The sequence below is a fragment of the Homo sapiens genome, chromosome 19, assembly GCF_000001405.40.
Source record: "Homo sapiens chromosome 19, GRCh38.p14 Primary Assembly".
In the NCBI taxonomy this organism is placed as follows: Eukaryota; Metazoa; Chordata; class Mammalia; order Primates; family Hominidae; genus Homo; species Homo sapiens.
The window spans coordinates 9,207,868-9,222,337 of NC_000019.10; the positions used below are offsets into that span (position 1 = coordinate 9,207,868).

At 41.8% G+C, this 14,470-nt stretch overlaps 2 protein-coding genes and 1 pseudogene across 5 annotated transcripts in view; 2 read left to right on the plus strand and 1 right to left on the minus strand.

The window, feature by feature from the left end:
* Nucleotides 1-14,470, plus strand: part of OR7E24 (olfactory receptor family 7 subfamily E member 24) — a 46,138-nt gene that overhangs the window by 1,380 nt on the left and 30,288 nt on the right. For 2 of the 4 annotated variants that reach the window (XM_047438597.1, XM_047438594.1), the window contains exon 2: nucleotides 5,303-5,326. Coding sequence is in view for 1 of the 4 variants with exons in the window: in XM_047438594.1 (XP_047294550.1) it covers nucleotides 5,303-5,326 (24 nt within the window). In the remaining 3 variants the exon portion in view is untranslated. Of the gene's footprint in view, nucleotides 1-5,302; nucleotides 5,430-14,470 lie in introns of those variants that run through there. The other 2 variants (XM_047438596.1, XM_047438598.1) reach the window with 1 other exon arrangement.
* Nucleotides 2,409-11,722, minus strand: OR7D4 (olfactory receptor family 7 subfamily D member 4). Its single transcript, NM_001005191.3, has 2 exons — nucleotides 11,333-11,722; nucleotides 2,409-6,983 (listed from the first exon to the last, which is right to left on the minus strand). The coding sequence occupies exon 2, from the start codon at nucleotides 6,968-6,970 to the stop codon at nucleotides 6,032-6,034; it is 939 nt and encodes a 312-aa protein (NP_001005191.1). The 5' UTR covers nucleotides 6,971-6,983; nucleotides 11,333-11,722; the 3' UTR covers nucleotides 2,409-6,031.
* Nucleotides 8,321-8,522, plus strand: OR7D11P (olfactory receptor family 7 subfamily D member 11 pseudogene; annotated as a pseudogene).

The window sequence follows — 14,470 nt, forward strand, 5'->3', positions numbered from 1 at the left end:
ATACCCCTATGCCTGCCTCAGTGTTTAGAGGCTGCTGCCTTCAGTTACTGTCTCTGTTACCACATTGTGTCCTTTAGCCTTTGTCCTGCAGTAACAATCAAGCCAACTCCCTCTGTTCAATTCTCTTCATAATAAGTAGATTAGTTATTCAAAATAACTAGATTAGTTTCTATTTTTTTTTTTTTTTGAGATGGAGTCTCCCTCTGTCACCCAGGCTGGAGTGCGGTGGCATGATCCCGACTCACTGCAACCTCCACCTCCCAGGTTCAAGCAATTCTCCTGACTCAGCCTCCCGCGTAGCTAGGATTACAAGGACCGCCCACCACGCCTAGCTAATTTTTGTAATTTTAGTGGAGACGGGGTTTTGCCATGTTGGCCAGGCTCGTCTGGAACTTCCGACCTCAGGTGATCCACCTGCCTCGGCCTCCCAAAGTGCTGGGATTACAGGCATGAGCCGCGTGCCCAGCCCTGGTTTCTATTCCTGACCTAACCTTGACTGAGGAACAAAAGTATGTTGGAGTTGTCTGCAAGGGGAATATTTTAAAAATGTGCTGATGAAATAAAGCTGCTTTTAAAACATATGTCTTTGTGAAGAGAGTCCAACTGAAGTTTAAGTGGCAGTGCCCTATTTCCGGTTGCTGTGTGACTCTAGTGATGTCTAGGGATTGTTAAATCACCAGTTTCATCATAAATAATTTCAGGGTTTTCTTCTTTTACTTTACACTGAGCTACCAAAAGTCCATGTCACCAGCAAACATGAACTCTCCTTTATTTCACATAAATGATAGTCAAAGAATTTGATAAGTGGGACATTAATGCTGCCTTTTTTTTTTTTTTTTTTTGAGACAGAGTCTTGCTCTGTTGCCCAGGCTGGAATGCAATGGCATGATCTTGGTTCACTGCAACCTCCGCCTCCTGGGCTCAAGTGATTCTCCTGCCTCAGCCTCCCAAGTAGCTGGGACTACAGGCACACACCACCATGCTCAGCTAATTTTTGTATTTTTAGTAGAGATGGGGTTTTGCCATGTTGTCCAGGCTGGTCTCGAACTCCTGACCTCAAGTGAGCCACCCACCTCGGCCTCCCAAAGTGCTAGGACTACAGGCGTGAGGCACTGTGCCTGGCCTAATGCTGCTTTTTGATGTCACATGGTGGACTCTCCCCACTGGTAATGCTTTGTTGTTGGCACTTTTATTTTAATATTTAGAAGAGTGCTATGATGGATTAATACCTTGTGATGGGAAATGTTTGGATTGTTTGGATGGTTCACAGTAGCCAACCAAAAGCGATGTGACAAACTTCAATCGGGATAGAATATACAGATGGTAGAAAAAATGTGGGATTTATGGACCCTTCATCACTCATATATTGGGCTCTTAAACGTGGGACTTTTGATAACTCAGAGGTCCTTTCTGAACCCCATGTTCCTCAGCAGCAAATTAATTGCAGTAGTCTTTTCTTCCAAGGCCATGCAATGATTTTATATCATGGTGCCATTAACCAGTCAAATGTTAGTTTCCCTTGAAATGATAGCCCCTATTATTACATTGAGGAAGTTAATTTTAGGGCCTGGCATGGTGGCTCATACCTGTAATCCCAGCACTTTGGGAGGCTGATTTGGCAGGAAAGTTTAAGGCAGGTGTTTGAGACCAGACTTGGCTACATAGTGAGACCCTGTCACTACATTTTTAAAAAATTTAAAAGAAGTTAATTTTAAATGGGTATTCTCAGAATATACAAGTAACTGGATATTACAAACTGTGACCTTGAGTATAAAACAAAACATTTCTTTTTTTTTTTTTTTTTAAAGACAGAGTCTCGCTCTGTTGCCCAGGCTGGAGTGCAGTGGCACAATCTCATCTCACTGCAACCTCTGCCTCCCGGGTTCAAGCAATTCTCCTGCCTCAGCCTCTTGGGTAGCTGGGACTGCAGGTGTGTGCCACCATGCCCAGCTAATTTTTGCATTTTTATTAGAGACAGGGTTTCATCATATTGGTCAGGCTAATCTCGAACTCTTGACCTTGTGATCCGCCTGCCTCAGTCTCCCAAAGTGCTGGGATTACAGGCGTGAGCCACCACACCCAGGTAAAACAAAACATATTTCTATTGAACAAGTTCATCTGTAGAGATGTGATAACAACTAAGAGTCTGTTTGAGGAGACATATCAAATGTACTGATTAGAACACTATTTTTGCTACTACCCAAACATTTTAAAAGCTCCCAACTCCCAGCATCTTCCGATCCAATCTACCTCTACATTCCTGTCATTTTATCATTTGTGCCCTCATATTTACCTCAGTATTTATTGATACACTGATAAATAGCATCCTTTCTTCCACATTCAACTTGTTGGAATATATATTTACATTTATTATATCAGTCATTGACAAATATTGTTGAGTACCTCACCTCTGAGCCATGGGTGGAATGTGAAAGTTTATAAAGAACCATAATATCTGGCTGGGCATGGTGGTCTGTACCTACAATCTCACCACTTTGGGAGGCTGAAGCAGGAGGGTCACTTGAGACCAGAAGTTCAAGACCAGCCTGGGCAACATAGCAAGACTCCATCTCTACAAAAAAATAAAATAAAATAAATTACCTGGACATGGTGGCGCAGGAGGATTACTTGAGGCCAGGAATTCAAGGCTGCAGTGAGCTATGACTGAGCCGCTTCACTGCAGCTTGGGCAACAGAGCAAGACATCTCAAAACAAAACAAAACAAAAACTCCATAACTTCCATACAACCTATTTTATCTACTTGAATAAAGACAGGCCAAAAGAAAGTACATTTCATTAAAGAATTTACTAGGTGATCTCACACACACACACACACACACAACACACACAACACAGAGTCTACACTAGGGAGTTCTCCGCCTGAAGTGAGATGAGCTCTTTCTTGATGAGCAACAATCAGAAGCTGCTGGGAACACTTGCTGAATTTAGGTGCAGAATTGCAGCAGCTTATTGTGATGTTGGGCTGAGAGCTTGTGGCGAAGGAGAACCAGGGTGGCTTATTTTGTCTGAAGGTCCAGGAGAACATTGTTAAGTCTGTAGAAATATCCAGTGCAGAGGAAAGGGCGACATGTCCATGTGCCAGTTCTACAGCATGGAATTTTTCTGACAGTACAATGTCTTGAATGGTGAGGAACTCTACCGGAAGGCAGAGGGAAATCTCCATGGTCTTGGGTGCTTAGAGACCCATGTCCTGGTAGAAGGATAGGCCTGGCCTCTGTTGCTCTGTCCCTTGCTTCCCTGCACTGACAGAACTCAGCTGGCATATGTGAGCTGCCCCATGAGAGTCCCTTGTGGCAACAAACTGAGGGGCCTTAGGCCATTGTCCTGCAAGAACCTAAACCCTACAAACAGCCATGTGAGTGAGCTTCACAGCAGATCCTCTCCAGTCAGTCCACGAGATGACTGCAACCCTGGCTGACATCTGATTGCAGTCTTGTTAGATATGGGGAAATGCTTAAGCAATATATAAAGTTACCAAGTTAGGCTGCAAAGATCAGCAGTTTCTAACATGCCAACATAGATCAATCAGACAGAAAGAATTAGGGTCTTATCCAACTTAGCAAAAACATAAATTACCAATGCATAAAATCTCAAATTACAGGCAAGGAGTATAGAAAGTAAAATAGAAAGTCCTCCTTAGAAACATAAATCTGAACTTCAAGAATGAAAGTAGTGGCTGGGTGTGGTGGGTCATGCCTGTAATCCCAGCACTTTGGGAGGCCGAGGCGGGTGGATCACGAGGTCAGGAGTTTGAGACCAGCCTGGCCAGCATGGTGAAACCCCATCTCTACTAAAAATACAAAAGATTAGCCGGGCATGGTGGCGTGCGCCTGTAATCCCAGCGCCACTGTGCTCTAGCCTGGGCGACAGAGCAAGACTCCATCTCAAAAAAAAAAAAAAAAAAAAAAAGGTGCAACATATTCTTCTCATGGAAGGCCTGCTTCTTCTTTATTTACATGGTTCATTCAATGGATTTGCAGATATGACTCCCATTTCATTTTAAAATTAAAAAAAAATCTGATGTGGTTTGTCACTGTCTCTGAAACTTGGTGGTGGGAACTCAGAGGACAGAAGAGGTTTTAATGAGAAGAGGAAGCCCTGTTCCTTCAATGGTCATTCACTTTTCTCCTCTTCTACTTTTATTTTTCTTTAAAAATGTTTTAAAACATTTTTAATTTTTGTGCGTAGATAGTAGCTGTATATATTTATGGGGTAGATGAAACGTTTTGATACAGGAATGCAATGTGAAATAACCACATCGTGGAGAATGAGGTATTCATCCCTCAACTATTTATCTTTAGAGTTACAAACAATGCAATTATACTTTCTAAGTTATTTTGTTTTATTTATTTATTTTGTTTTATGTTTTAGACAGAGTCTTGCTCTGTCGCCCAGGCTGGAGTGCAGTGGCACAATCTCAGCTCACTGCAACCTCTGCCACCTGAGTTTTATTTCAAAGACAAATATTTATTGCAGGTATTTGAATAAACAGAAAATACTGGCTACCAAATTTGCAGGATGCAAATTAGGATTAGTATGCATTCCAAATCAGTGAAAAATGATAATATCTTTTGATACCATCAAAATGATAATATCTTTATGATATAGAATACAATGGCCCGGAAATCAAGAGTTGGAACAAGATTGGCCCTGCCTAACATCACCTGTAGTGAGACACCTAAGGGGTTTGTGCTCCCAGATTCCACGGCTCTGATTTCTGTGGGCTTATAGGGCTTGTATTTCAAAGGGATAGCATGTCAGACTCATTCTGGCCAGTATATTACTAGGAACCATTTGACCCAACCAGCTTTCAAATATAGAGTCATAATTTGAAGTTGAAAATCACATTATCATTCTTTGCTTTTGTGTTTGTTTTTGGTTTGAGACAGGGTCTTGCTCTGTCACCCAGGCTGGATTGCAGTGCCACGATCACAGCTCACTACAGCCTCAAACTCCTAGGCTCCAGTGATTCTCCTGCCTCAGCCCTCCAAGTAGCTGGGAAGACAGGTGTGAGCCACTGTGCCCCGAAAATTTTATATCACTGTTTTTATGGAAAGTAGGATGGCAAAGTTAGAAGTGTGGGCAAAGTGTCAGATTGTTAGGATATACTCTACCTCCATCTCAGTCTCCTCCTTTGAGAAATGCAGTGAATGAGACAAAATTTCTCACGAAATGTTTTCAGGATTGAATAACATCAGACATGTAAAGCAACAAGCACTGTCCTGATATTGTAAACATTTTATACGACTAATCTATGGTTTTCATTTTATTTCCTATCCAGAGGACAAGAAAAAACTATACTAAGGTGAGGAACATCAACATTCAACAGGATAATTTTTGAGGAAACCAGGTCAGCACTTGATATTGGGAGTGCCATACACATCAAATTAGAAGTCTCAGAAAGAGTGGTAAGAAAACTGATCAAAGATGGAACTTTATGGGAAACATCTAGGGAAGAAAAGTCAAAAAGGGCTTACAGAGGGAGTTTTTAGGAGAAACTAACACAAAAACAAAAGCAAAATCATAGTTGTTTTTGATTAAAAAAAAAAAGAAAAGAAAGAAACACATTGGCCAGGCACGGTGGCTCACGCTTGTAATCCTAGCACTTTGGGAGGCTGAGGCAGGCAGATCATGAGGTCAGGAGTTCCAGACCAGCCTGAACAGTATGGTGGAACCCTGTCTCTACTAAAAATACAAAAATTAGCTGGCTGTGGTGGCACACACCTGTAATCTCAGCTACTTGAGAGGCTGAGGCAGGAGAACCGCTTCAACCTGGGAGGTAGAGGTTGCAGTGAGCCAAGATTGCACCACTGCACTCTAGCCTGGGCGACAGAGCCAGACTCTGTCTCAAAAACAATAACAATAACAACAACAAACAACCCAATAACAACAACCAAAAATCCCACATCAAGCACATTTTTTAAAAGAGAAAAAGAGCCGGATATTTAAACCCACAACATTTGCCTTAGGGGTACGCAGTGTGTCCTCTTAGTTCTGAGGCCCTGATTTGTCATGGACAAGAGTCGGCCCTGCTGAGGAGTCTTTCCAGGGCCCCCTTCACATCCTTGTTCCTCAGGCTGTAGATGAAGGGGTTCAGCATGGGGGTGACCATGGCGTACATCACTGAGGCGGTGGAGCTGCTCTGGGAAGAATGGGTCACAGCAGAACTCAGATAGACCCCAAGTCCTGTTCCATAGAACAAGGAGACCACACAGAGGTGAGATCCACAGGTGGAAAAGGCTTTGTACTTGCCCTTGGTGGAGGACATTCCCATTAAGGAGGAGACAATCTGAGAGTAGGAGAAGAGGATCCCAGCTACAGGAAACACACCCAGCAGTGCCGTGGCCACATACAAGACAATGTTATTGAGGAGGGTGTTAGAGCAGGCCACCTTGAGGACCTGAGCCGGTTCACAGAAGAAATGCGGAATCTCAGTGCCTGTGGAGAAGGTCAACCTCTTCATCAGTAGAATATGAACCAGGGAGAACCAGAAAATGATGAACCAAGATGCCAGAACCAGGAGGCCACAGAGGCAGGGGTTCATGATGACCGTGTAGTGCAGTGGGTGGCAGATGGCCACAAACCGGTCATAGGCCATCACGGCCAGTAGGAAAGTATCCATTCCAGCAAACATCATTAAAAAATACACCTGAGTGAGGCACCCCATGTAGGAGATGTCTTTGCTCCGTGCCTGGATGCTCACTAGCATCTTGGGGACTGTGGTGGAGATGAAACAGATGTCAACAAAGGACAGGTTGGAGAGGAAGAAGTACATGGGGGTGTGGAGGTGGGAGTCAGAGCTGACGGCCAGAATGATGAGCAGGTTCCCCAGCACCGTGACCAGGTACATGGACAGGAACAGCCCAAAGAGGACGGGCTGCAGTTCAGGATCATCTGAGAGTCCCAGGAGGAGAAATTTTGATAATTCTGTAAGGTTTTCTGCTTCCATGTAGCTGTTGTGTCTGCTGGGGAAGGAGGAAAAAGCAACGTTTAATGAACAGCAAGTGGCAGCTCAGCTTGTCATCACTTTACAATATCACCTTTTGATGGACATTTGTCACCCTTCCTGGAGTCCTTACAAAGACAATGAATCTCTCAGGAAGTGGTATCTATTTTTATTCTATTTGTGTAGAGTTATCCAGCCATTCTTTAATTTTTAGAAATCTCTCTCTTTGGCCGGGCATGGTGGCTCACGCCTGTAATCCCAGCACTTTGGGAGGACAAGGTGGGCAGATCACGAGGTCAAGAGATTGAGACCATCCTGGCCAATATGGTGAAACCCTGTCTCTACTAAAAATACAAAAATCAGCTGGGCGTTGTGGAGTGCACCTGTAATCCCAGTTACTAAGGAGGCTGAGGCAGGAGAATCGCTTGAACCCAGGAGGCGGAGGTTGCAGTGAGCCAAGATCATGGCACTGCACTCCAGCCTGGTGACAAAGTGAGACTCCGTCTCAAAAAAAAAAAAAAAAAAAAAAAACCTCTTTTTTTCATTTACTCACCAGTTTTAATTCCCCCATTTGTATCTATGAACTTAAATCAATTTCTTCTTTGGTGTGAATCTTCCAAAATAATTAAAGGTATGTCATGTCTTTTCCTCGATAATCCCCATGCTTCCTTCATTCTAATAGATGTACAATAGTTATTAAGTTGTGGATTTTCAACCCAAACAACCTTTATTCTGTGACCCAGTGCTTGGAAGTGATGTGACAGTTAACTCTCAGGGCTTTCTTCCTTCCTTAAAATTAAATTATTGATATTACTTTCTTATTGAGGTTTAAAAATGCCATATGCACGGTAGGAATATCAACAAATGATAGCTATCATTACTGCTACTATTACTATTAATCTTATTAATCTTTTCCTTTTATGATAATTACTTAGATATATAACTCTTCCAAGGTATAGCATAGAGCTGTGATTTGGAAAATATTTTCTGAAATCAGACTTTTTAGAATAAAATTCTGATCCATGCATTAGTCTGTTTTCACTCTGCTGATAAAGACATACCTGAGACTGGGCAATTTACAACAGAAAGATGTTTAATGGACTTACAGTTCCACGTGGCTGGGGAAGCCTTATAATCACGGTGGAAGGCAAGGAGGAGCAAGTCACATCTTACATGGATGGTGGCAGGCAAAGAGAGAAAGCTTGTGCAAGGAAACTCCCCCTTATAGAACCATAAGATCTCATGAGACTTACTCACTATCTCAAGAACAGCATGGGAAAGACCTGTCTCCATGATTCAATTTCCTCCCACTGGGTCCCTCCCATTACACATGGGAATTCAAGATGAGATCTGCCACCCCCTGCACCCCACAGTCATCATGAACTCCTGCCTCTGTGGCCTCCTTGTTCTGGCATCTTGATTTATCATTTTCTGGGTCTCCCTGGTTCATGTTCTTCTGATGAAGAGGTTGACCTTCTCTATAGGCACTGAAATTCCACATTTCTTCTGTGACCTGCCTCTGGTTCACTGTGTAGGGACACAGCCAAACTATGTGAATCCACCAACTTACTACTGTATACCATAGAGAAAGTTATTTGAACTGTCTTAGCTGCAGCTACCTCACCTCCATAGTAGGAGTAGTAAATACTCCCTATGTGGGAATATTGAAGAGTGAAATTAAATGAGATTATCCATGTCATTTGTCTACTATGATTTCTGTGTCATACAATGGATATTTCACACATATGAACTTTTGTTCTTTTGCTTTTTTTTTTGAGACAGAGTCTCACTCTGTTGACCAGGCTGGAGTGCAGTGGTGCAATGTTGGCTCACTGCAACCTCTGCCTCCTGGGTTCAAGTGATTCTTGTGCCTCAGCCTCCCAAGTAGCTGGGACCACAGGCATGCACCACCATGCCCAGCTAATTTTTCTATTTTTAGTAGAGATGGGGTTTCACCATGTTGGCCAGGTTGGTTTTGAACTCCTGGGCTCAAGTGATCCACCCACCTTGGCCTCCCAATGTGCTGAGATTACAGGCATGAGCCACTGTGCCCAGCCTGAACTTTTGTTTTTAACATTACAATAAATCTGTCTTTCATGGCTATCATTTATCAATATCAATATCCCCCTTACATGGGGCAGCCATCAAGGATGGAATTCTGATCACTGTGAATACAACAGGTCTGTTACGTCTTGTGACCACCACACAGGACTCTCAACTCATGAAGATCCCTATGCTTCCCTGCTTCAGAGAATGTCTGCCCAGTGTATTCCTCCAAGAAGTAACAAAAGCCTGTGGACTACATACACAAGATGAGAAAAGAAAGGGACACCGCCATTAGAATCAAAGACAAGGCCTGAGAGAATGTGTGCTTGTGTACACATGCAGTTGAGTGGGAATGTTGGACTAATATCAGGGCAATGAATTGCCAAGAAATGTGACTGATAAGTTTGATATAAAAATTTAAAAATTTCTATAAATCAAATCATCCTAAAAAACTAAAGGGCAACTTTGAGGTTTGAAAAAAAATTTGCATTTTTCATGATGGAAAAAAGGTTGTTACTATTTATGCCTAGAGAATGTTGATTAATTAAAGATGGAAAAATAATCACTGAAGACCAACTTTAGTCCTGGAAAGTGGATAGAAGAGGCTTCTCTGAGATAGGAAAATTTGGGCTGAGAGAGGAAGAATGGATCATTGGTTTGTTTGTTTGTTTGTTTGGAGATGGAATCTCGATCTGTTGCCCAGGCTGGAGTATAGTGGTGCTATCTCTGTTCACTGCAACCTCTGCCTCCCAGGTTCAAGCGATTCTCCTGTCTCAGCCTCCTGAGTAGCTGGGATTACAGGTGTGTGCCACTACGCTCAGCTAATTTTTTTATTTTTAGTAGAGACAGGGTTTCACCTTGTTAGCCAGGCTGGTCTCGAACTACTGACCTCAAGTGATCTGCCCACCTCGGCCTCCCAAAATGCTGGGATTACAGACATGAGCTACTGCACCTGGCCGGATCATTGTTAATTAGGGGAAGTAAGGAAAGGAAAGGGTAAATCTTCTAGGCTGACAGAAGAGAATTCGAGATTGTCCCATGGGTCATTGAGCTTGTAAAGGAAGGGATTTGAGATGCCAGTGAGATGGGGAGCAGGGAATGAAAGCGGGATATGTATTTGATGACTAGAAATAGAACATCCTATATTCTTCCTCCTTGTCCCTTTCACATTGGTCAACTTATATTTAGTTTTAGACAGTGGTTGCGATTGTTTTGTCTCATCATTTAACAAGGATTTACGTGGTGCCCAGCACATTACTGATTCTGAGCAAGTACAAATTGAAATGTTCTATAAAGACTGGGACCAAAGCATCAACTATAACACAAAATAGAAATCTTCAAGTTTAAGACATGTTTGAATATAGACATAAATTTAATAATACAGTAAATAACATATTCATATCTCTTTTAAAATAATGATAAATGAAGTAGTAATACCAGCTCTAACAATGGAAGCAGGTTTAATGTAAGAATGTCTGCATAATTCATCACAAAAACAGGTCAGTAAAGAGAAATCATAAACAAAATCACAATAGAAAAAATGCATTTGAAAAAGATTATCAACCAGGGCAGATCCTCTCAATAAAGGAAGAAACCAAGGACAATTGCTTAACCCGATAAACAATGGTTGTTTTAATACCACAGGCAACAAGATATGCTATGTTAAAACAGTAAGGGGTTTAAATTCCTGGATACACCAAAGGCCGTCTACTACAATTTCAATCTTTTGATATTTTGGTGAACATGCAAATGGATTTTTTTTTGGGGGGGACATGGTGTCACTTTGTCACCTGGGCTGGAGTGCGGGGTGCAGTCTCAGCTTACTGCAACCTCTGCCTCCTGGGTTCAAGCAATTATCCCATCTCAGTCTCCCGAGTAACTGGGATTGCAGGTGTAAGCTAAGGTGTCAGGCTTTCTTTTTTTGTTATTGTTTAGTAGAGACAGGGTTTTGCCATGTTAGCCAGGCTGGTCTCAGGGTCCTGGCCTCAAGTGATCTGCCCGCCTCGGCCTCCCAAAGTGCTGGGATTATAGATGTGAGCCACTACGTTCAGCCAAGGGATTTTTAATATGAGAAAAAAAATTGGACTGCATGTTGAATGTCAGAAATAATTGTATTATTTCTATATGATATCATGGATACTAAGTTGAAATAGCAAAAACATAACAGCTAGTAAGTGCTGTAAATAAGTCACCATCTCCACCACATCAACCCTACCCCCAATCCCCAGACCACTCTGGGTCTGGTAACCAATAATCTGCCAGGAAAAATATAGAATATAATAGAAAAATCCAATCACATTAGGAACACATAGACAATACCTTGAGCATAGTAGATCTTCCGTGAGTAGTTAATGAATAAGTAACTGGATGTACGAAATTCAACAGGAGACTAAAGTTTATAGGAAAGAGTGCAGGAGAGTTAGAGACTGTTCGGAAAATAACTTATTAAAGACGGGCCCTGGATTCCAAGGAGTGAGAACAGAAGGTGGGAGACACTGGTTTCTGTGAAAACTAAAGTACCATCAAAGTACAGGGACTTCACCTTCATAGACTCAATAAGTATGGGACTTTCCAGGCTCATTACTGTGAAGGCTAGTACTTATTCTCTCTCCTCTTTTCCTTCTTACCCCACCAGCCCTCACTGGGTCACACTAACTCTGATGGTTATCACTGAAGTTTTCTCTTCTACACGATCTGTTCCTAGGAAGCCGTACTGGGTTTTTTCCAAAGGCTGGGAGCAGAGAATTACAGGTGAGGTTGTTTAAACAGGGGCACATTTTAAGTTTCCAGTGTCTCAAGAGTTGAATTCTCAGAGCACCTTATTAAATAAATTGTTCTATTTTCTTCCCACTCTCCAAAGAGTTTGGCTCCCTTTGAGTAGTAAGAAGATGATAGAATGGAAATTTTTCAGTTAATTTTGTGATGAAATAGGCAGTGGTAGGGCATGATGGATTTATTTCCCCCAAGAAGAAATTCTTTCTTCGGTTTAATTTGAAAGTCACAAGTTTTGCCCTAAGGAAAGATTAATTTCTGCAAGGAACTAAACTCAGGAATCATCTCCAAGCGATGTGACTCCCTTGAAGAGTCTTTGGAGATTTTATGGATCCCTCGGTGTTGAAAATTCATGGAAACAAAAATGTCTTTTCTTTTTAAATATTTTTTCAAATTATTTTTATATATTTTTTTAAATTATAGAATTATATGTATGTATCATGTACAACTTGATATTTGGAAATATATATACATTGTGGACATTCAATGTATCTAATTAACATACGCATTATCTCACAGAGTCGTTATCCTGGTGAGAACACTTAATATCCACTCTCTTAGCATTTTCAAAGAATATCATATATATCATCATTAACTAAAGTCATCCTGCTGTACAATAGATCTCTTGAACTTACTTCTCTTATATAGCTGTAATTTTGTATTCTTTTACTAACATCTCCACAACACCAACACTACTCCTCAACCCCAAACCACTCTGGGTCTGGTAACCAACATTCTACTTCTTTGAAATCTGGATTCTATTTCTCTGAGATCACCTTCGTTAGATTCCACATATGAGTGAGATCATGTGATATTTGTCTTTCTGTGCCTCCCTTATTTCACTTAACACAATGTTCTCTGAGTTCATCCATGTTGCAAATGACAGGATTTCCTTGTGTTTTATGGATGAATCATATTCCATTGTGTATATATACTACATTTTCTTTATCCATTCATTTATTTGCAGACAACTAGGTTGATTCTGTGTCTTGGCTACTGTGAATAATGCTCCAATAAACATGGGAGTGCGATATCCCTTCCACACACTGACTTCGTTTCTTATTGATATATACCCAGTAGTGGACTGCTGGATCATATGGTAGTTCTATTTTTAAGTTTTTGAGGAACCTCCATACTCTTTTCCATAATGGTTGTACTAATTTACATTCCTACCAACAGTGTAGAAGGGTTTCCATTTCTTCATATCCTGGCCAGCACTTACTATCTTTTGTCTTTTTAGTAATAGCCATTTGAGATGAAGTGAGGTGATATCTCATTGTGGTTTTCATTTGCATTTCCCTGATGATTAGTGAAGTTAAACCTTTTAAAAATGTATGTTGGGCCGGGCGCAGTGGCTCACGCCTGTAATCCCAGCACTTTGGGAGGCCTAGACGGGCGGATCACAGGGTCAGGCGATCGAGACCATCCTGGCTAAAGGTGAAACCCCGTCCCTACTAAAAATACAAAAAATTAGCCGGGCGTGGTGGCGGGCGCCTGTAGTCCCAGCTACTTGGGAGGCTGAGGCAGGAGAATGACTTCAACCCGGGAGGGGGAGCTTGCAGTGAGCCGAGATCGCGCCACTGCACTCCAGCCTGGGTGACAGAGCGAGACTCGTCTCAAGAAAAAAAAAATGTATGTTGTCCATCTGTGTGTCTTCTTTTGACAAATGTCTTTCAGGTCTTTTGCCCTTTTTTTTTTTTTTTTTTTTTTTTTTTTGAGACGGAGTCTCGCTCTGTCACCCAGGCTGGAATGCAGTGGCGCGATCTCCGCTCGCTGCAAGCTCCGCCTCCCGGGTTTACGCCATTCTCCTGCCTCAGCCTCCCGAGTAGCTGGGATTACAGGCGCCTGCCACGACGCCCGGCTACTTTTTTGTATTTTTAGTAGAGACGGGGTTATCACCGTGTTAGCCAGGGTGGTCTCGATCTCCTGACCCCGTGATCCGCTCTCCTCTGCCTCTCAAAGTGCTGGGATTACAGGCGTGAGCCACCGCGCCAGGCTGTCTTTTGCCCATTTTAAAATTGGGTCGTTTTCTTCCTACTGAGTTGTTTGAGCTTCTTACGTATTTTGGATATTAGCCCCATATCACATGTCTAGTTTGCAAATATTTTCCTCCATTCTGTAGTTTGTCTCTTCACTCTACTGTTTCCTTTGCTGTGTGGAGATTTTTAGTTTAATGTAATTCCATTTGTCTATTGCTTTTGTTGTCTGTGCTTCAGAGGTCATATCCAAAAAAATCACTGCTCAGACCACTATCATGAGGTTTTCCTCTTTTGTTATTTTCTAGCTTTTCTATTTTAGGTTTTACATTTAAGACTTTAATCCATTTTGAATGGATTTTCGTATATAGTGTGAAGTAAATACCTAATTTCATTCTTCTCTGCCTGGATATCCAGTTTTCCCAACACCATTTATTAAAGAGACTGTCCTTTCCCCCTTGTGAGTCTTTGGCACCTTTGTTGAAAATCAGTTGGCTATAAATACATGGATTTATTTCTGTGGTTGATATTTTGTTCAGTTGGTCTATGTATCTAGTTTTATGCCAGCACCATGCTGTTTTGGATATTACAGCTTTGTCAAATAGTTTTAAATCAGGTAGTGTGATGCCTCCAGCTTTGTTATTTTGGCTCACATTGCTTTAGCTATTTGGTGTCTTTAGTGATTCCACAAAAATTATTTCTGTGAAAA